Source organism: Homo sapiens, chromosome 18, assembly GCF_000001405.40.
Source record: "Homo sapiens chromosome 18, GRCh38.p14 Primary Assembly".
Classification (NCBI taxonomy): domain Eukaryota; kingdom Metazoa; phylum Chordata; class Mammalia; order Primates; family Hominidae; genus Homo; species Homo sapiens.
Genome location: NC_000018.10, coordinates 58,431,095 through 58,451,907, shown reverse-complemented (window position 1 = coordinate 58,451,907; position 20,813 = coordinate 58,431,095). Strand labels below are relative to the sequence as shown.

Genomic DNA, 20,813 nt, shown 5'->3' with positions numbered 1-20,813 from the left:
TGTGTAAGTTTATTAGAAAGTTGGATTTTTTAACGACGAAAAGAGAAGGACCCACACACCTTAATTTTGTACCTATAAGCTTGCGGTCTGTCTGCATAACATAGATTTAGCCCAGTCTTAGCCTTCTGCGTCTAACACTTTCCTAACTATTCATTTTAAGTCTATAAGCATGGGTTAAATGATTACCTCGTGCCTGGCCTTGTGTTGGGGGCTCTGAGGAACTCTGCAATCTTTTTATTTTCATTTTTTGAGACAGGATCTTGCTCTGTCACACAGGCTGGAGTGCAGTGGTACCATCACAGCTCACTACAGCCTCAACCTCGTGGGCTCAATTGATCCTCCCACCTCAGCCTCTCAAGTAGCTGAGATTACAGGCACATGCCACCATGCCTGGCTAATTTTTGTAGTTTTTGTAGAGACACGGTTTCACCATGCTGCCCAGGCTGGACTTGAACTCCTGAGCTCAAGTGATCCGCCTGCCTTGGCCTCCCAAAGTGCTGGGATTTCAGGCGTGAGCCACCGTGCCTGGTCTGCAATCTTTTTATTGACTTGGGAAAACAAGAAAATTAATCACCAGCTAAGGTATGTAACAACAGCATGTGAGAGGCAGGGTTCAGCTAACCATATTGGTTATGAGTGCAAAAGAGCCAGACTTTATTCAGTAAGTACACAAGATTGAGAAGACTGATATCAGATGAACCTTCTTGCTCAAAGCAAACGATGCCAAGACATTTATCGAGGGAAGGATTGCCTAGCAGTAGCTATTTAGTGTGATAATGGCGTTTGATAGTTTAGACACAAACACCATTGTCACACTCCACAGCTCTGCTAAGGAAACTCTGTAGCCACGAAGGTGTTAACTTCACCTCCACATTCCACCATTGTCACTGATAATAGGGGAACCTTGTCAGCTCCACATATTGTGACCTAAGCAGAGAAAAGAAGCATCACGGGTACAAGCATCTTGAGCAATGGGAAGAGCTGAACACTCTCAATGAAAGGCTTCTGTGTTCTGGAACAGTAGAGTAGTAGAGGGGTCCACTGCCTGTGTTCCACTGCCACCCAGCAAACCCCTTCTGCAAAAACTTCCTGTGAAAATGGACAGGAACTCTGTTTGCAACAATTTTCTAAAATGGCTGAGAGAGAAAGAATCTCTAGAGGGAATAGATTTCTGGAAATAAATACTTATTGGAAGACTACATTATAAATGAGAATAATCTGGCCGAATGAATGGATACTCTCCAACTCTCACCTCTTCACCTACTTCCCAATCCATCATCAGTAAATGTGATCAATTCTGCAGTCTAGGAAAATTAAAATTATTTTATATGGGGATACAGCAGTTAGATGTGTTGTGATCTACTCTCCGTGGCATCTATTGGATATAAAGGCATCTGGTCTTGCTCAAATGTTCAATCTTCTTGACCACAGTCATTTTCCACCATGGCGGTGGGTGGGAGATGAGGGGAGAGAAGAAAGAGAGGAAGATGGAGAGAGAGGAAACGAGTCCATTTTTAGTTCATGATACTCATTTTCTAGCAAAAAGGGAGCTCCAAATAAATCCCTACAGGATTTACTTGGCTTTCCTGTTAAAGATGGTTTATAATTGTTATGTGAACTCCTGCCCACCATGGAGAATGAGAGGAAATAAAGCATTTTACCTACTCCTTCTTTTCCTGCAAATGCTGAAAAGGGAAAGGGTTGGGAGCCAGTTATTTTTTCCCCAGGATAACTGAGTTGTTAACATCTGACCAGAGTCTTGCTTTAGCCCTAAAACCGGCCCATCTTTAACAGCTGTAAATGAACCCTTCCGTATTTTTCAGAAAAAAAAAAAAAAAATTGCGCCTTATTCTCATGTAGATCCTGAAATCACCCTCTTCAAGCTGGACTTGCAGTGATTATCCCCCTGCGAAAGCTGAAAGTCGTTCTGCTCCCATGGGTTGGAGTGTTGAAGTTGCCTCTTTTTTTCTTTCCCTTTTTCACTTTGTGGATTCGTTATCTTCCCCTAAGTGACTGATTTCCTTTGGTTCCTGTCTGTGGCCCTGGCTTTCTTTCATGAAATGTGGTCATTTGCAAGGCAGCAGGCCGTGCCAGTGCTACACATACTCTCTTAGGTGGGACTCGCCTCCTGGGCAGTTTTCCATGACTCAGAGAGAATGACTACGAACCCTAGAACTGCTCTAGGTGGCCCCAGTCACTGCCACAAACCCCTAGCACTCTGGGTGTGGCCAGCAGTGGACACAGGCATGTGGTGGCCCATCTTGTCCTTCCCTTTCCCTACAGCTCCTCCTAACACAGTAGCCAGGCTTGTCCTGCTTAGTCTTTGCTGAGGGACCTAGAACAGAAATCGCCACCTCCTGGTCATACCAGGGCTATCGCTGACCATCCACAAGAGGCTCTAGAAGTCTCTTAGCTCTGCTGGGAAGAAACAGTGAGAGGTGAACAATTCACTGATTAAAAGGGTCCCCGGAGGATGCGCTTGGAGCGCTCTATCCTGGGCAAGGGCTTGGACCCATTTCACTTCTCAGGGCTCCATAGCAGTATCTGAGCATCCTCCACTTCTCCATGGGGGCTCTGTTGGCTTTTGGCTTTGAATAATCTGCAAAATACAGAAAAGGGAAGGAACAGATGGAAGATGAAAAGAGATGAGGAAGTTAATGCATTACAGGTAAATCTTACCAACTCCCCACCCCCCAAATCAACCTTTACAGGTAAATCTTACCAACTCCCCCCACCCCAAATCAACCTCAATTTCTATGGCCCAGAAATCTATCTCCAGGAAAATGTCAAAAATTTGTAGAAAGATTTACCTATAAGGTTGCTCATAGTGGCATTGTTTATAAGGGTAAACATTGGAAACAACCTAAATGTCCAGCTATAGGAGAAGAGTAATATATTTATGATAGACCATAATTATTTAAATTGATTCTGTAGAAAAGTCTGGTAGACTTGGAAATTCAAGATATGTTATTGAATTAAAAAACAGTTTATAAAACAATATACACAGTATGAGTCCCTTTCTGTGAAAAAATGCATACATGCCTGAGGCCAAAACATCAAATGTTAACCATGGTTATCTTTCAGTAGAGAAATTATGGTTTGTTTTCATTTTCTCCTTTTGTGTGCATTTGTTAATTTATGATTCATATGGCACTTTTTTATTGAGAAAAATGAGGATTTAAAAACTTTTAGGCAATTTTCTTTCTGGACTCTCAATACAAATTCCTTCTTGCAAAATACTCTTCTGAAATTGGGAAGGTTGGAACCCATCCTGCTCATATACAACTTGTCACAAGCATGAAAAGTTAGTGCTGTGCTGAGTGGCAGGCCTCAGGCTAATTTTTTAGCAAATTATTAGTGAAATACTTTATTATGCAGTACAATAATTTTATGGTATTATTGCATCAATCACTAAACACATATTGAGTGCCAATCATTTTCTGTCTTGTGAGCAATTTTTAAACATTGCTAAAATGGCCAACATCTTTTATTACTACTTTGTTTCTGCAGAGGTGGTTAAACTGTCAATTTACAAAGCAGTTTAAACAAACAAGCAGAAGGTTTTCTTTTTTTAAAAAAAAAAAGTCATCCAATAATATATCGCTAGTAAAATAAATTAAAAGTGGTTAGTGTCAGGATCCACTTTTGAATATTTTAAACATTCACAAAATAATTTCTCATTCTGCAGATTTTTAATGTTCTAGTATTTTCAAACTTAACAACTGAACTTAAATAGTACGAGCTAATAACAAATAGAAACATTATACACTGGTTGGGAAGTATTAACACGTTATTTCCTTTGAAAAAATAATGCTTAAGGCAAAGATGTTTGATATTAAGCAGGGTGACTTGTCCAAATGCCAGCACAATTTTCTACAGTGTGGAAAAGGCCTTGAGGGATTCTGTTTAGCTTCCCTGGGCCCCGATCCCATCCACATAAATCTCCCACCATCTCTCTTTATGCCTTACTTCCTGAGATCTCCCTGAGAAAGGTAGAGTGCTAGCCATTCCTGAATGGCAGTCTATTAATACTAAATTTCTCCTGGAGTCTCAGCTACTCAGGAGTCTTAGGCAGGAGGATCCCTTGAGCCCAGTTGTTTGAGATCCCATTTCTAAAGAAAACACACACACGAAATTTCTGTGTGCTGTCATCTTCCTGCACTCGTCTTCCCAACAGTGATGAAATCTCCAGGCATCTCTAGCTGCTGTGGCCAATTCAGAATGCAGCTTTCCCACTGGATCCGTGAGTATGAAAAACAGGCTAGATTTGGTTTGCTCCTCTTTTAATGCCCTGCATTTCTTTTCATAAGTGAGAAAAAAAGCTCATTAAGGAGGAAGCTTTTACAAAGCCAGACCCTCCAGCAAATTCACCACTCTGTACGCATTCTGTATGCACCACAGCTCCCAGCGTGACGTCTTAGATTCACAAGTACCAGGAATATCGCAACACTCACTTTCTCAGGTCAGATCTGGGCACGAGCAGCTTGTCTTTGCTTTAAGATGTTGTTCCCAGGGGCTGAGAGCATTCTAGGGCCAACCCCATAGGGGGTTTGGGTGCTTTGGGGACTGTGAAGTGTCACCTTGCTGCAAACCTAACCCATCAGTACCAAAAAAAAATTTCTTAAAAAGTGAAAGATAAGTGGAGATGCTTTTTACTCTGAATCCACGTTTACTGCCATTTAAAATAGATGTGTTAAATGCATCCATTTGATTATTTTAGGCTGTTAGTCTACATGACAAAGGAAGTTGGTATTATGCTTCTGAGTCTTGTCATTTTGAAAGTGCATGGAAATTTTAAAATAGAATGTTCTTGTCAACAGGGAGCAAAGCAGCATTTCTTTCCTCATTGAAATCCATCTAGAAGGGAAATCTGGAAAGTTCCCTATTCATGCACCTATTCATGCCTGTGTTTCTCACCAATCAGTGGTGAAGAAGGAATCACTGGGTACATTTTTAGCCAAGTTGGGGCCTCCACGGACTCTTTTTAAAGAGAATTGCTGAGGCTTGGGGATTCCTAAGGAACTGTCTCATTTCTGCACAGGTGTCCAGCTATTTTTAGTGCTATTGAGGGAACAATATGACCTGGACAGAGGCATGCCAAAGGAACGACTCTAATGCCGGCATTTTGTTTGAAGGTTTGGTGTTATTGCTGAATCAGGCCATCGTAAAAACAAGAACTGGCTTAATGTCCAGCCACTCCAAGGGCAGAAATAAAACCCCACACCGTCCCTGAGCCCTCAGCTCCTCCCCAGCCTCATCCTCTCTCCCTCTGCAGGGTGATCATTTCTTTTCCTCCTTAAGCCATTTTGTTATTTTTCTTTAAACGGAAACCATCTGTTACTCTCTCTAAAGAAAGTCTCCAGTTTTCCTCAAGCTTTCTGAGGAAACAGAATAATCATGGAAGACAAAGTTATGGTGTGTTCAACACCTCCTGTTGCTCAGGCGCTGGGTGGCATCTTTTTCAACACCGGAGTCAGCAGCCTCCCGTCATTTCTCGGTCAGCGGCCACCCCAAAGAACGGCCTGATCACTCAGGGGGGTCGGCAGGCGCCGGGGGAGAGCCGCACTTACCCCCAGTCAGCTCCGGTCCTCTCAGTCCAAGGCCCTTCCTGTGGCAGGCAGGATGGCGCCTTCCACAGCTTCTGTGGCTTTAGGCCTCTCCCCTCTCCCTTTATGGGATCCAGGGTTTAAAAGTAAACAATTCTTTCTCTTTCTGATAAGTCGCATTATTTATCGATTCAGTGGGGGAGGGAGGGCACGACCTTAGGCCACTAAGTCAGCACCACCTTTGGTCAAACACACTCAGCAAGATTGGAAAGTCCATTCCTCTGCTGAGTGGGGGTGTGCGGCCAGCAGGCAGCCATGGAGGCCACCGAGGCAGAGAAGACAGGTCACCTAGTGAATACATCTTCCCCTCAGAACCCCAACTTCCAACCAGTTTAACGTTCCTCACGGGAAGACTGCCATGTATGACCTGGTCACCTCCCCAGATTTCTAGAGACAGAAGAGTCACCGGTCACAGGAGCCTACTAAGTTCAATAGATCCTTGGCTCATGCTACGTAGAGCTCTTGACCAACATTTGGAAGCCAATCTCATTCTCCTCTTGAACTGGTCATTTCTGACGTAGTTAACCATGCATTCCTTTGTTCACGCCAACAATTATGTATGAAGCTCCTCCTTATCTGCTAAGCTCTGGTAATGCCACGGGGACCAAGACAAACAGAGCCCACAGTCAGGCAGTGAAGCAGGCAACAGGCGAGCCGCACGGACAGCAGAGGAGGCTGCTGCTCGGCCTAGCTGTATTCTGTTGTCGGCTATTATTATTGCTTTTTATTTTTTATTTACTTATTTTTTTGAAATGGAGTCTCGCTCAGTTGCCCGGGCTGGAGTGCAGTGGCGTGATCTTGGCTCACTGCAACCTCCGCCTCCCGGATTCAAGCGATTCTCCTGCCTCAGCCTCCTGGGTAGCTGGGACTACAGGTGCCCGCCACCACGCCCGGCTAATTTTTGTATTTTTAGTAGAGACGGGGTTTCACCATGTTGACTAGGCTGGTCCCAAACTCCTGACCTCAGGTGATCCTCCCGCCTTGGCCTCCCAAAGTGCTGGGATTACAGGCATGAGCCACCAGACCCATCCGCCGGCGATTATTTTTAATGTCTCTGATTATTTCTTTTCCTTCTCAGGTCATTTTGTTATTTTGTTTTTCTTTCTTTCTTTTCCTTGCTTCCTTCCATTCCTTCCTTCCTTCCTTCCCTCCCTCCCTCCTTTCTTTTCTTTTCTTTTCTTTCTTTCTTTCTTTCTTTCTTTCTTTCTTTCTTTCTTTCTTTCTTTCTTTCGTCTTTCTTTCTTTCTTTCTTTCTTTCTTTCTTTCGTCTTTCTTTCAACTTTCTCAATCTGTCTCTCTCTCTCTCTCTCATTCCTTCATTCCTTCCTTTCCTTTCTTTTCTTTTTTTTTTTTTTTTTTTTTTTTTTTGAGGCAGGGTCTCAATCTGTTACCCAGGCAGGAGTGCAGTGACATGATCACAGCTCACTGCAGCCTCGACCTTCTGGGCTCAAGGGATCCCCCTGCCTCAGTCTCCCCAGTAGCTGGGATACAGGTGCCCACACCTGACTAATTTTTGTACTTTTTTGTAGAGATGAGATTTCACACCACATTGCTATTTTGCCTTCTTATTCTTTAAAAGGAAACTCCTCGTTGCTCTCTCTAGTAAACACAAATGCAAGCTGAAGTGAGGTCTGGTCATTCCAGTTGATGATGATCTGAGGAGCTGGGTGGCCTTAATTTCACTAGCAGGTATTGTCATCCTGATAGTGTCATACTTCCTGTTAGTTGTCATATTTCTTTTCAGGTAAAAATGAAAAAATATACTAATGGCCTTTTTTTTTCTTGTCAAAGAGCTGAACTCAAGAAATGGGCCCAGTGAGTGGGCACCACTGTTTGTTCCTGGCATGCTCCCTAGGGTCCTGGGGGGACTAAGTTCCTTCAGGTTGCCTATGACTACCTGAGAGATCCTGCACACTTGGCCCTACAGAAGACAGGGCCCTCCCACAGGGCTGAGGGACTGGCCTTCAGTTCCTATGGGAAGAGCCCAAACAGTGCACCCCGAGGCGAGAAAAACATCCCGAGGGCTCTCTGGAAATCGCCAAAGCCCTGTGCTCCGCAGCGTCGGTGGATAAATATGGTGTCAATGGGATTTTTTTTTATGGTCACATTTCTGGCGCTGCAGTGTTGGCACTGCCTTTGCAAACTTGCTGTGCACTTTTAAAGTTGCTTCTCCTGATTTCAGCCATCCTAATTCTGAAAAGAAATTCTGAAAAGTGCACAGCGCTTTTTTTCAGCCTGGGCACTAGAATAAGACTCTGTCTGGGAAAGAAAGAAAAAAGTGACTTTTCATTTTTTAAGAAATAAAGGTGAGTGCCTTTTTAAAGAAGAAAAAACTGTTGTTTTTTCTCCTTTAAAGTGAAACAGATTCCTCAGGGCTCCCCGTTGTCCTGCCCTTTGAAAGAAAGACGTTCTTTCAAAGACGTTCTTTCAAAGGGCAGGATAAACCCCTCCCACCCCCAGGCCTCGTCCCACATTTTCCAGGTCACTTTCATCAGCATTTTTGCTGATATGGTTTTCCCTTCATTTAGAAAACCAGGATGAAGACACATGTTCAGCTTTCAGATGATTTTCTTTACATTCCTAGCCACGGTACTTGCAAGGATTCTGAATTTCAGAGACACGATGAATGTTTATCAAACTTCTGGCAAATCACACAACTCTACCTCAGCTGCCTATAAAAGTGATTTTTTGGCCAGGCACAGTGGCTCACACCTATAATCCCAGCACTTTGGTAGGCCGAGGTGGGCGGATTGATTGAGCTCAGGAGTTTGAGACCAGCCTGAGCAACATAGCAAGGTCCTGTCTCTACAAAAGCTACAAAAATTAGCTGGACATGGTGGCATGTACCTGTAGTCCCAGCTACTTGGGAGGCTGAGGCAGGAGGATTGCTTGAGCCTGGGAGGTGGGGGTTGCAGTAAGCCGAGATCGTGCCACTGCACTGCAGCCTGGGCACTAGAATAAGACTCTGTCCATGACTTTTTATTTTTTAAGAAATAAAGATGAGTGCCTTTTTAAAAAATAAGGTAGATGTGAATCTTGGAAGGTTGAAGTTTAATTTAGAATGTCTCAATCCCTAATGTGTATATTCAGATACAGGCTGCAAGACTGGGCTTCACCAACAGTGAAAATCAGGTAACTTTCCACTAGCTGCAGCTGGAAGCAGGCTCCAATCATTGTGGGTGATTCGCTCCATGGTTTTCTCATCTTCCTGCCATGAGCTGCAGGCTTTGTTAAATGGGGGGAAAAAAAGTAATCAGTTCCAATGAAGAATGCCAAACTTTTGCCATGAGGAATGCTGAAGTTTGGGGACTGGGGATCCTGGGTCTCATTCAAGACTCTTTGTCATTTGGATTTTTGCCTTTGGACAAAAATAACTTCATATTTCTGAGGCTTTAGTTTCCTCTCTGTGTAGTAAAGCTGAGAATACTTGCTTGTCATTTGCTCTCAAACCTTAAGTGAAACGGGAGATGAATTCATCTTTAATCATGACTAGTTCAAGAGACTGAGGCAAGAGGGTCCCTTGAGCTCAGGAGTTTGAGTCCAGCCTGGACAACATAGCGAGTCCACTGTCTCTAAAAATAAGAAATAAGTAAATAGGAAAAAACAAAGTTAGATATAGAGAAATGACAAAGGGCATGGACTGTACGGACTAACTGGTTATTTACCAGTAAAGAGAACAAAGGATCCTAATTTGCCATGTGCAGGGACCATGCCAAGCCCAGTGGGGCTGGAAGGAAGCTGGGTTGCTGCAGCCTCAGATTTGTTATTAAGAGAATCAAAATCACTTTCAACCCAATGTCACAAGCCAGGACCCAAGTGAAAACAGAGTGTTGACAGCGAGTCTTGGTTTCATCTCTGCATTTACACACGCATCACCTTCTCCCACAAAAGTTCCTCTTCTTATGGCTGGAGACAGGCTCAGAACACTGGTGGTGCATAGGTGCAGGGGCTTGATTGCAGTGATCATGGGAGAGAGTCATCATATGAATGAGCGGTGCCCACTCTCAGAAGGCAGTTGAAAATAAATTGTGCACATGGTGATATTTCTCCCCTAAACACTTCAGCACACATCCCCAAAGAATTTAGGAGTACTCTACTTAACCTGCGTACCATTATCAGAGCTAAGTTTACAGTAATTCTCTAATAGCACTATTTAGCTTATTTCCTTTTTCTTTCTTTTTTTGCCTTGAGACAGAGTCTCGCTCTGTCACCTAGGCTGGAGTGCAGTGGCGCGATCTTGGCTCATCGCAACCTCTTCCTCCAGGTTCAAGTGATTCTCCTGCCTCAACCTCCTGAGTATCTGGGAGTACAGGTGCACACCACCATGCCTGGCTAATTTTTGTATTTTTTTAGTAGAGACAGGGTTTCCCCATGTTGGCCAGGCTGGTCTCAAACTCCTGGCCTCAAGTGATCCACCTGCCTCGGCCTCCTAAAGTGCTGGGATTACAGGCGTGAACCACCATGCTCGGTCCATTGAACTTAGTTTCAAATTTCCCAATTATCCCCCAATTCTCTTTAATAGCAGTTTTTTTTTAAACCTAGGATTTAGTCAAAATTTGTGCTTGCATTTGTTTTTTTCTTTCCTCATTTTTTTAATTGACAAAATTTATCTAGATGCTCTCTGGCATTCTGTCAAATGTTATTCTTCTGTCATAGTTTTTCCAGAGATTGGCCACTGCCCTTGGATTTCTAATGAGCGAAGGCCTAGAATGCAGGCCCGTGGACCTTCCACCTCGCCTCCCTCTCTCCACGGCCTCCTGCTTCTAAGGATGAGCAAATAATCTCAGACTGAACCTTCTTTAAACACCAAGCAAGAATCTCCAACGAGTCCTCATTCCTCATTCTTTCATTCATAGAAGGACTATTTGTTGGGGGCCACCATGTCCGAGGTGTCTGATATCTATTCTAGATACCGGGTGTACAGCAGCAAAACTAACAAATAAGAAACACAACCAGACTAAAATGCCTTCCCTCCTAGAGCTCACATCCAGAAGGAGCGGACAATCAATCCACAAAATAAAGAAAAGCAGACAAGCAGATAGCGAGGTCTGGGGAAAGACTCCAGATAGTGTGATTAAGCAACGCCCCATGGAAGGAGGATTTGAGAAGAAAGGAGAGAAGGTTAAAGAGTAAACTGGCCAGGCGCGGTGGCTCATGCCTATAATCCCAGCACTTTGGGAGGCTGAGATGGGCAGATCATTTGTGGTCAGGATTTTGAGACCAGCCTGGCTAACATGGTGAAAACCCGTATGCAGATTATAGAGATGTTAAAACGTGGGGAAAATTATTTGTTTGAAAATGAAGGAATTTAATTTGAATGCCTCTTACTCTCTGCCCCCCTTTATATTTGACAAACAACTGGCTAGTTGTTAACAGCATCGACCTTGGAGCTAGACTGTCTAGGTTCAGACCCCAGCTCTCCCACTCACTAGCTGTAGGAACTTGAACAAGGTACTTAACCTATTTGTGCCTCCATTTATAAATTTATGTTAATAGTAGTACCTGCTTCCTAAGGTCACTATGAGGATTATATGAATTAATATACATAGACTTAGAATAGTGCCCAGCCTAGGGTAAACACTACTAAGTGTTATTATTATTGAATCCTGAAAACATCTTTGATTATTCTTATTTCAATTTTAAAATAAAGAAACAGGTCAAAGGCACAGCTGGTACCATGTGTCAAGCCAGGACTTGAAGGACACTTTTCTAAAGGCGACTCACTGCCCTCTGCAGCTCTCCCTGCCACATACATGCTAAGGAAGCCAGGCTCCAATGCCCAGGACCTCACTTTTCCAAGAGGAGTTCAAAACTCCGGGCTCCATTGCCAAACTTTGGAGTCGCTCCTCTTCCAACTTGTCCATGTTCTTTCCCCAGGTGTTCTATCATTGTGCTCTAAAATCACCATCTTATCACCTTGAGCATTTTTGCTCAAAGTGAGCATAAGAACACAGAAGAAGAGAGCAGGTCTCTGCCAGAGCTTGTGCAGGACCCCTGAGAACAGACCTCTGTGGCAGCAAAACTCTGGGCCTCCTGTCCTGAGAAGGAGAAGGGAGAGCTACCTTGTGAATACGGAGTCCTTCACGCACCAAGACCCAACGCCTAGGCCAAAGATTGAGCCACAGCCCACAGTTCCTCAGAAGAGAGGGGCCAATCTTAGTTCTTCTTCTAACTCTTCATGACTTTAAAGGAATTCTGGCCTGGGTAGGGTGGTTCACGCCTGTAATCCAGCACTTTGGGAGGCTGAGGCGGGCAGATCACTTGAGCCCAGGAGTTTAAGACCAGCCTAGGTAACATAGTGAGACCTCAACTCTATGAAATTAAAAGTAAAAGGAATTCTGGGCTGCGCATGGTGGTGAGTGCCTGTAGTCCCAGCTACTCTGGAGACTGAGGAAGGAAGATTGTTTGAGCCCAGGAGTCTGAGGCTGTACTGAGTTGTGATCATACCATTGCACTCCAGCCTGGGTGACAAGTGAGAGACCCTGTCTCTAAAATACAAGTTTTTTAAAATAAAGGAATTCTGACTGTACCCCTCTTCCCTGATCATCAGAGACCTCATTTGGAAAAAGCAAAGTCATTTTGTGAAAAGCCACTTGAAGAAAGGACTTAGTGGATACATTCATTCATTTGTTCATGCTCTATCCTAGGTAGCTCTCTACCAGGACTTGGGCTAGCATCACAAAATTCTCCCTCCCCACTCCCCAGCCTCCCCAGGAGCCTCATGAGGCTTTTCAGGGTAATCTCAAAAGCATCTGGGATGTTTAAGGGTTAAAGGAACCACATACTCTGGACAATCTCAAACACACCCCAAGTTGGTGGTCTCTGCTATAATTTTCTTGCAGGCTAAGGTCAGCTCTGTGAAATAATTCGCAAAGCAACATAGCTCTTTGCTTAGTGTTTTTGAAATGGGACCTGGCAGGAAATTCTGAGCCATTTGATCACAGTAATAATGTTCCCTCTGTCTTCCTGTAAGTCCAGTGTTAGGCTGGGAAGTTCAGGTGTAAGTCTTGGGTATTGTTTCTCTGATGCATTGGGGCTTGTGTGCCCATCATTCTGAATGTAATTCTCATAGTCCCCACTTTGATGGAGAGTTCTCTCAAGAAGCACTCCCCCATCTTCCGGTGCAGGTCACTTTCTTCCCCTTGTCTCCTTGTCCCCCACGCCATTATCTTCCCCCCCATTGTCTTACACACAGAGGCATTTACTGCACTCCCCTCCAACCTGGGTACCCCCCAGATCTGTCCAATAGCTCCTTCCAACAAAACTTTCTGTACGCTTGTCATTTCCTCTTCAATGTCCCCTACCTGCACACTTAGCCACTGATAAACTCAGCCAAGATTTATCCTGAATTAAAAGTGTTTAGTATAAAGAATCGTTTGAACATCAACTTAATTAACTTGCTTTCTGTCCTGGGAGCAACTGCTTTCTGTTTCACTTTTGTTTTAGACTCAGGCAGAGAATAGAATCGGCGTGCAGTTTGTCTTCCATCATGCAGCCACTGATTCCTCTGGAATTTACTGAGCCAGATGCCAAACTAGTTCTTTGATCAATGGTCTTAAGGTCACACCTGACTCCTGAGAGAGTAGCATGCTGTCCCCTTTGCCCCTCTTTTACTCTTGCCCCGCTTCAATTTCTGCATCACCTCCTAAGGTCCAAATGTCAAGCTGGGGGATTAGTGTGGTTAAGACACAATTCCAGTCTGGCAGTGTTCACACTGAGCACAAGACATAGATGCTGCTGACTGCTCACATCAGACAAGGGGCAAGGCCCAAAGGAGCTCAGCATGGGATTGAGGAGATAAGACTTCAGAATCATTCACTCATGGCGTGTTTGAGAAACACACACACAAACAAGACAGTGAATGCCAGAGATGGGACTTGGTGACAGAGCAGGGACTGAGACAGCACCTTAGCCATGCCTCTACTGAAGACAGTCCTAGAACCCGGTTCTGAGCTTAGGCCCTACCCAGGAGTTCACTAGCACAGGTCCCACTGTCCCTTGGTGGCCAGGCTAAGGAGAAGGGCTAATTCAGTCAGCCATGGAGAACCAGTGGAACCAAGGGGGTACTTAGGGGACACTATCTGCTAACTGTGGACATAGTAGATTGTGGGAGGCACAGAGGATCATGGGTGGCACAGGAGATTGTGGGAAGCAAAGGGGATCATGAGAGTCAGACCAGCAGAATGCCCTACTGTAGGCCAGGGAATAGTGAGAGGCACAGGGGATGTGGGAGGCACAGAAGATCATGGGGGACACAGGGGGTTATGGGAGACCCAGGGAGTTATGGAAGACAAAAGGTTACAGGATGGTAGGAGTCACACAGGAGACAAGGGGAGAACCATGCAGCAGCTCTTTGATGGTCTACGTGGTATATAGGTTGGAAGGGGACAGAGGAGGCCAGCCCTAGGAACAGGAATAAAACAAAAGTAGAAGGATTGGAAAGATAAGGATAGATGGTAGTCAGGGGTCTTTGTTCAGAGAAATGCACCGTGAGTAGTAGGTAAGAAAAGGAGGTTTCTAGCCATAGAACCTGGAGTTTGAATCCTGTTTCTGCCCCTTCCTTCATGGGTGAACTTGAGCCTAAGTTTCCTAATTTGTAAAGTTCAGGTAATAATACTTACCTTCCATGACTATGGTAAGTATTCAATGAGACATATACATGAAATACATATCCCTGGCACATAGTAAGAACTCAATAAATACTATTATTACTATTATTATCATCAGGCAGATATTACACAGGAAGAATTGAGAGAGATACTTAATTGGATTTTAAGTGAAGGGGCATGAAATGGTTTCTTATCACAGAGACCACAGGCTCATGCCTTAAAAATCTCTGCAGATGGAACTGTGGACTCCAGTTGCTAAAAATCCCCTTCCTCACTTTGCTGGGTCAGAGATTTTGGACCAGTCCAGAGGGCATCCAGATTCCCCTTGGGTCAGAGATTTGGGGCCAGCCCAGAGGGCACTGGGAAAATGCAGCTGGAGGAGAAAGAGAAGGCAGGGCTGCCTTGTGAATTCGGAGTCCTTCATGCACGGAGACCCAACACCCAGGCTGAAGGTTGAGTCAAAGCCCATAGAAAAGAGGGGCCAATCCTAGTTCTTCCTTTAATCCTTCATGACTTTAAAGGAATTCTGGGTTGGGGAGGGTGGTTCATGGCTGTAATCCCAGCACTTTGGGAAGCTGAGGATGGAGGATCACTTGAGCCAGGAGTTTAAGACCAGCCTGGGCAATACAGTGAAACCTTGTCTCCACAAAATTAAAAGTAAAAGGAATTCTGGGCTGGCATGTTGGTGAGTGCCTGTAGTCACAGCTACTCTGGAGACTGAGGCAGGAGGATTGCTTGAGCCCAGGAGTCTGAGGCTGTAGTGAGTTATGATCATGCAATTGCACTCCAGCCTGAATGACAGAGTGAGACCCCGTCTCTGAAATGTAAATTTTTTTAAAAAAGGAATTCTGACTGTATCCCTTTCCCTTCATCACCAGAGACCTCATTCAGAAAAAACAAAGTCATTTTGTGAAATGCCAAGACAAGGATTCTCTTCTGCTCAAGTCTCCCAAGTGACCAGGGCAAGTTCCAGATAACAGAAAAAATGCTAATTAAGTGGTGGCACCAATCTGCCCATTTGTGCCCTCTCGCTAACCACCATTCCTCCTCCTGTCACTCAGAGGTGCTTTGGCCATTGAGAGGGACAGTGGAGAGTCCCAGGCACCTATGGGGCCTTCTTGATCTCTCCATGCCCTTTGCTTTAGCAGGACTGGACTGGATCAGAAGTCAGTACAGCAGACATGGCAGTCTCAGTCCCCAGAGCCGGGTTACCTCTCCACCCTAGCTTTGTCCCCAGCCTACCGTCTCTCCCTAACTGACCCAGGAACAAATTTGTTGCTTTATTGGCCTATTATAGGAATTTTTTTTTTTTGCACATTTCTTAGTAACAAAACAGCACCCTTCATCCACTTGTGAGTGTCTTTCTTCTTGGGTTCTATAAATCACCTGGTTGCTGCTTTGCAAGAAAATAGAAAACCGATCATTTCTCCAAGACAAAAAGAAAATTTGTATCACCAAAATCAAATTTAGTTCCTTCCACTTTGCTTTCATGCCTTCCTGCTTATGAAATAACTTTCATTTTGATGCTGAATCATAGTGTAATTTTTTGAGGACTTTTCTTTTTTTATTTTTGAAATTTGATTTTAAGTTCCGGGGTACATGTGCAAGATGTTCAGGTTTATTATATAGGAAAATGTGTGGCATGGTGGTTTGCTGCACCCATCAAGCCATCACCTAAGTATTAAGTCCAGCATGCGTTAGCTATTTTTCCTGATGATCACCCTCCCACCCCCTCCCCACCACTGATAGGCCCCAGTGTATGTTGTTTCCCTCTATGTGTCCATGTGTTCTCATTGTTCGGCTCCCAAACACGTGCAGTGTTTGGTTTTCTGTTCCTGTGTTTGCTAAGGATGATGGCTTCCAGCTCCTTCCATGTCCCTGCAAAGGACATGAACTCATTCCTTTTTATGGCTGCATAGTATTCCATGGTGTACATGTACCACATTTTCTTTATCCAGTCTGTTATTGACGGGCATTTGGGTTGATTCCATGTCTTTGCTATTGTGAATAGTGCTGCAATAAATATACATGTGCGTGTATCTTTACAATTGAATGATTTATAATCCTTTGGATATATACCCAGTAATGGGATTGCTGGGTCAAATGGTATTGCTGGTTCTAGATCTTTGAGGAATCGCCACACTGTCTTCCACAATGGTTGAACTAATTTACATTCCCACCAACAATGTAAAAACATTCCTCTCTCTGTAGCCTCGCCAGTATCTGCTGTTTCTTGACTATTTCATAATGGCCATTCTGATTGGCTTGAAATGGTATCTTATTGTGGTTTTGATTCACATTCTCTGATTATCAGTGATGTTGAGCTTTTTTTCACATGTTTGTTGCATAAATGTCTTCTTTGAGAAGTGTCTGTTCATGTCCTTTGCCCACTTTTTAATGGGGTTGTTTTTAATCTTGTAAATTTAAATTCCTTGTAGACTGTGGATATTAGACCTTTGTCAGATGGATAGATTGCAAAATTTTTCTCCCATTCTGCAGTTTGTCTGTTTGCTCTGATGATAGTTTCTTTTGCTGTGCAGAAGCTCTTTACTTTAATTAGATCCCATTTGTCAATTTTGTCTTTTGTTGCAACTGCTTTTAACTTTTTGGCCATGAAATCTTTGCCCCTGACTGTGTCCTGAATGGCATAGCCTGGATTTTCTTCTAGGGTTTTTATAGTTTTGGGTTTTACATTTAAGTCTTTAATTCATCTTGAGTTAATTTTTTGTATAAAGTGTAAGGAAGGGGTCTAGATTCAATCTTCTGCATATGGCTAACCAGTTCTCCCAGCACCATTTATTAAATAGGGAATCCTTTCCACATTGCTTGTTTTTGTCAAGTTTGTCAAAGATCAGATGGATGTATACGTGTGGACTTATTTCTGAGTTCTCTATTCTGTTCCATTTTTCTATATGTCTGCTTTTGTACCAGTACCATGCTGTTTTGGTTACTGTAAATTTATTTTATAGTATCATTTGAAGTCGGGTAGTGTGATGCCTCCAGCTTTGTTCTTTTTGCTTAGGATTGTCTTGGCTACACAGGCTCTTTTTTTGGTTCCATATGAATTTTAAAATAGATTTTTCTAATTCTGTAAAGAATGTCAATGGTAGTTTAATGAGAATAGCATTGAATCTATAACGGCTTTGGGCAGTTTATTAGTTCATTTTCATGTGGTTTAATTGGACTTACAGTTCCACATACCTGGGGAGGCCTCGGAATTATGGCGGGAGGTGAAAGGCACTTCTAACATGCAGCAGCAAGAGAGAAGTGAGGAAGAAGCAAAAGCAGAAACTCCTGATAAACCCATCAGTTCTCGTGAGACTTATTCACTATCATGAATATAGCACGGGAAAGACTGGCCCCCATGATTCAATTACTTCCCCCTGGGTCCCTCCCACAACACATGGGAATTCTGGGGGATACAATTCAAGTTGAGATTTGGGTGGGGACACAGTCAAACCATATCAGGCAGTATGGCCATTTTCCTGATATTGATTCTTCTTATCCATGAGCATAAAATGTTTTTCAATTTGTTTGTCCTCTCCGATTTCCTTGTACTCCTACTTAAAAATCATGGAGAGAAGTCCCATGATGTTGGGAGTTTTAGAAATACTGAATTTCTTCAGGCTTACACAGCTGCAGTTCCCTTTAATAGTCACCTGTGCAGCTCACCCCCATTTTGCCCATCCCTCCCCTGCACCACACACACATAAAGTATAAGCTAGTTCATAAGCCATCAGAAAAATCCCAGCTACTCTTAGGAATAGGTCAGCTGATGGTGCTGCACACAGAAGGCCAAAGACTACCAAGGAAATCATTGTGTCTGAAAGCTTTCGAAAAAGCATTCAAATAGATTCTCATGTTTTAAGAGCAAGATTTTAATTAGAACTGGATGTCTGAATTGATGGGATGTCTTCTTCAATCCAGATTGTATAAAGATGTTAAAAAAAAAATCAGGCCGGGCGCGGTGGCTCACGCCTGTAATCCCAGCACTTTGGGAGGCCGAGGCGGGCGGATCACGAGGTCAGGAGATCGAGACCATCCCGGCTAAAACGGTGAAACCCCGTCTCTACTAAAAATACAAAAAATTAGCCGGGCGTAGTGGTGGGCGCCTGTAGTCCCAGCTACTTGGGAGGCTGAGGCAGGAGAATGGCGTGAACCCGGGAGGCGGAGCTTGCAGTGAGCCGAGATCCCGCCACTGCACTCCAGCCTGGGCGACAGAGCGAGACTCCGTCTCAAAAAAAAAAAAAAAAAAAATCAATAACCCAGGCAAAAACTTTGGAACCAGGGGGGAAAATCAGTTGAATTAACCTCAGGTATATTGGCTTTTTTTTTTTTTTGGCTGAATTTGTGAGTAGGGGGAAATTTCAGCTAGGACTGACAAAAGGCAGATCAACTGTCAGCATTTTGTTGAAGCTATGATGTCTCAATGGGGGTTAGGGGCTGTAGAAATTCAGCTTAATCTTCAAGACAGCCTGTGGCAATTGTGTAGAACTTTAAAATAGATTTTAAAATGAATATAATTTTGGGCCAGGGAATGCATTCTTAAGCATGCAAAGCCTAAAATCAAGAATTTCTGGGCTGAGCGCGGTGGCTCACGCCTGTAATCCCAGCACTTTGGGAGGCCGAGGCAGGCAAATCATGAGGTCAGGAGTTCGAGATCTGCATGGCCAACGTGGTGAAACCCTGTCTCTACTAATAAAATACAAAAAATTAGCTGGGTATGGTGGCAGGCACCTGTAATCCCAGCTACTCGGGAGGCTGAGGCAGGAGAATCACTTGAACCTGGGAGGTGGAGGTTGCAGTGAGTCGAGATCGAGCCACTACACTCCAGCCCCTGAGCAACAAAGTTAGACTCCGTCTAAAAAAAAAAAAAAACAAAACAAAACTCTGAACATTAGATGATTCAAATAAATAAAGTCAAAAGAAAAAAACAAAAAAATCCAAGGAAAAATTAGCAATAGAGAATGCAATCACATTGAGTAATTCAAGATGGAAATCTGGAAAGGATATGAATGTGAAGTTTACAGAAAAATAAACACATGAAAACATAGTTAACTTCACTCCTAATTATGTAAGTGTAGATGAGATATCGATTCTCAGTTAACACATAAGTGAAACTTAGAAGCTTGTTAATATTTGGTATTGGCCCTGCCGTGGGCAATCTGCCACTCTTCAACACTATCAACATTACCAGAAGTGGTAGTGGTCTACTTTTAAATGAACAATTTGACAATACCTATCAAAATTGGAAATGTGCATTCCTCTCGACCCAGCAATTCCGTTACTGAGAATTTATACATATATTCACAATAGTACACTAAACATGTACATAAGAATATTCATTACCACATTGTTTGTAAGAGAAAACTGAAACAAACTAAATATTTGTATGGTAGACTGGTTAAGTAAATAATACAGCCATCCAATGTAATACTGTGCCGATATTTACACAGAAAAAGAAAAAGACAAGATCAGGAATTGGGGTGAAGGATGATGATTAACCCCATAACTTCCCAGTCAAAAATATATCAGAATACATTGGATATAAATAAAAAATTAGGCTGGGCACGGTGGCTCACACCTGTAATCCCAACACTTTGGGAGGCCGAAGCAGGTGAATCACGAGGTCAGGAATTCGAGACTAGCCTGGCCAACATGGTGAAACCCCGTCTCTACTAAAAATACAAAAATTAGCTGGGCGTGGTGGCTCGTGCCTGTAATCCCAGCTACTCAGGAGGCTGCGGCAGGAGAATCACTTGAGTCTGAGAGGTGGAGGTTGCAGTGAGGTGAGATCACACCACTGCACTGAAGCCTGGGCAACAGAGCGAGACTCTGTCAAAAAAAAAAAAAAAAAGAAAGAAAGAAAGAAAAAGAAAGAAAAGAAAAGAAAATTGAATACATACTTATGTGCATATGTTTATTTGTACATGTACTTATTTGGTGGGAATAGCATACTTTTTCTTTTTTTTCCTTGAGGGATACAAATAGCGTAATTGCTGGTAGTTCCTTTGAGGAGTGGGCTAGTGGTTGGGAGGTGGGGAGGGTAGGCTTTTGCATTTGGGGTTTTATCTTACTGTTCTTTCATTGCTTGGGAGCATGACCAGAAGCAGGGCTCCACAGCCTCTGACCCTAGCAACAGATGCAGGAAGACTTTGTGTCTCCTCCCAAAGCTGAGGACAAGTGCAGTGAGACATCAAAGGACTAAAATTTCTGCCTAAAGCCCGGCTGGCTTCATGTTAAAGGTCGTGGTGAAGCTGTAAGCACCAACGAGTGATCTCCACTTGGAGGCAGAGGGCTTTGACACTCGACAGTCCAGAGGCCAGACTGAGTGGGAGTTAGGGGAGCTTTAACTTGATCCTGGTAGGGAGCCGGATCAGCTGGAAGTGCTGCAGTACAGGTGCCTGGGGTGCCAGGTGGATACAATGAGGGGGCCTGAGCTAGTACTGGAATCATGAAAAGATTCCTCCAAGAAGTGTGGTTAGGCCTGAGCTCTGGATGAGGGATAGGAATTGTCTAGGCAAAGGGACAGGGCTGGAGATATATCTGGTAGAGGGGACAGCATCTGTGAAGGCCTGAAATGGGGAACCGGAGGTGA

General features: G+C 43.7%; 1 long non-coding RNA gene and 2 other non-coding genes across 5 annotated transcripts; 1 reads left to right on the top strand and 2 right to left on the bottom strand.

Moving 5' to 3' along the window:
- Positions 1 to 626: 626 nt before the first annotated feature.
- MIR122HG (MIR122 host gene) lies at positions 627 to 5,645 on the bottom strand. Of its 3 annotated transcripts, none has more exons than NR_170245.1 (3): positions 5,571 to 5,645; positions 2,368 to 2,599; positions 627 to 1,089 (listed from the first exon to the last, which is right to left on the bottom strand). It is a non-coding gene; the product is annotated as an MIR122 host gene (long non-coding RNA). The 3 variants fall into 3 exon arrangements; NR_170244.1 differs by having other exon boundaries at positions 627 to 927; NR_170243.1 differs by lacking the exon at positions 627 to 1,089 and adding an exon at positions 1,304 to 1,417.
- On the bottom strand, positions 750 to 834 carry MIR122 (microRNA 122). Its single transcript, NR_029667.1, has one exon. It is a non-coding gene; the product is annotated as a microRNA 122 (primary transcript).
- MIR3591 (microRNA 3591) lies at positions 756 to 828 on the top strand. Its single transcript, NR_039899.1, has one exon. It is a non-coding gene; the product is annotated as a microRNA 3591 (primary transcript).
- Positions 5,646 to 20,813: the final 15,168 nt, after the last annotated feature.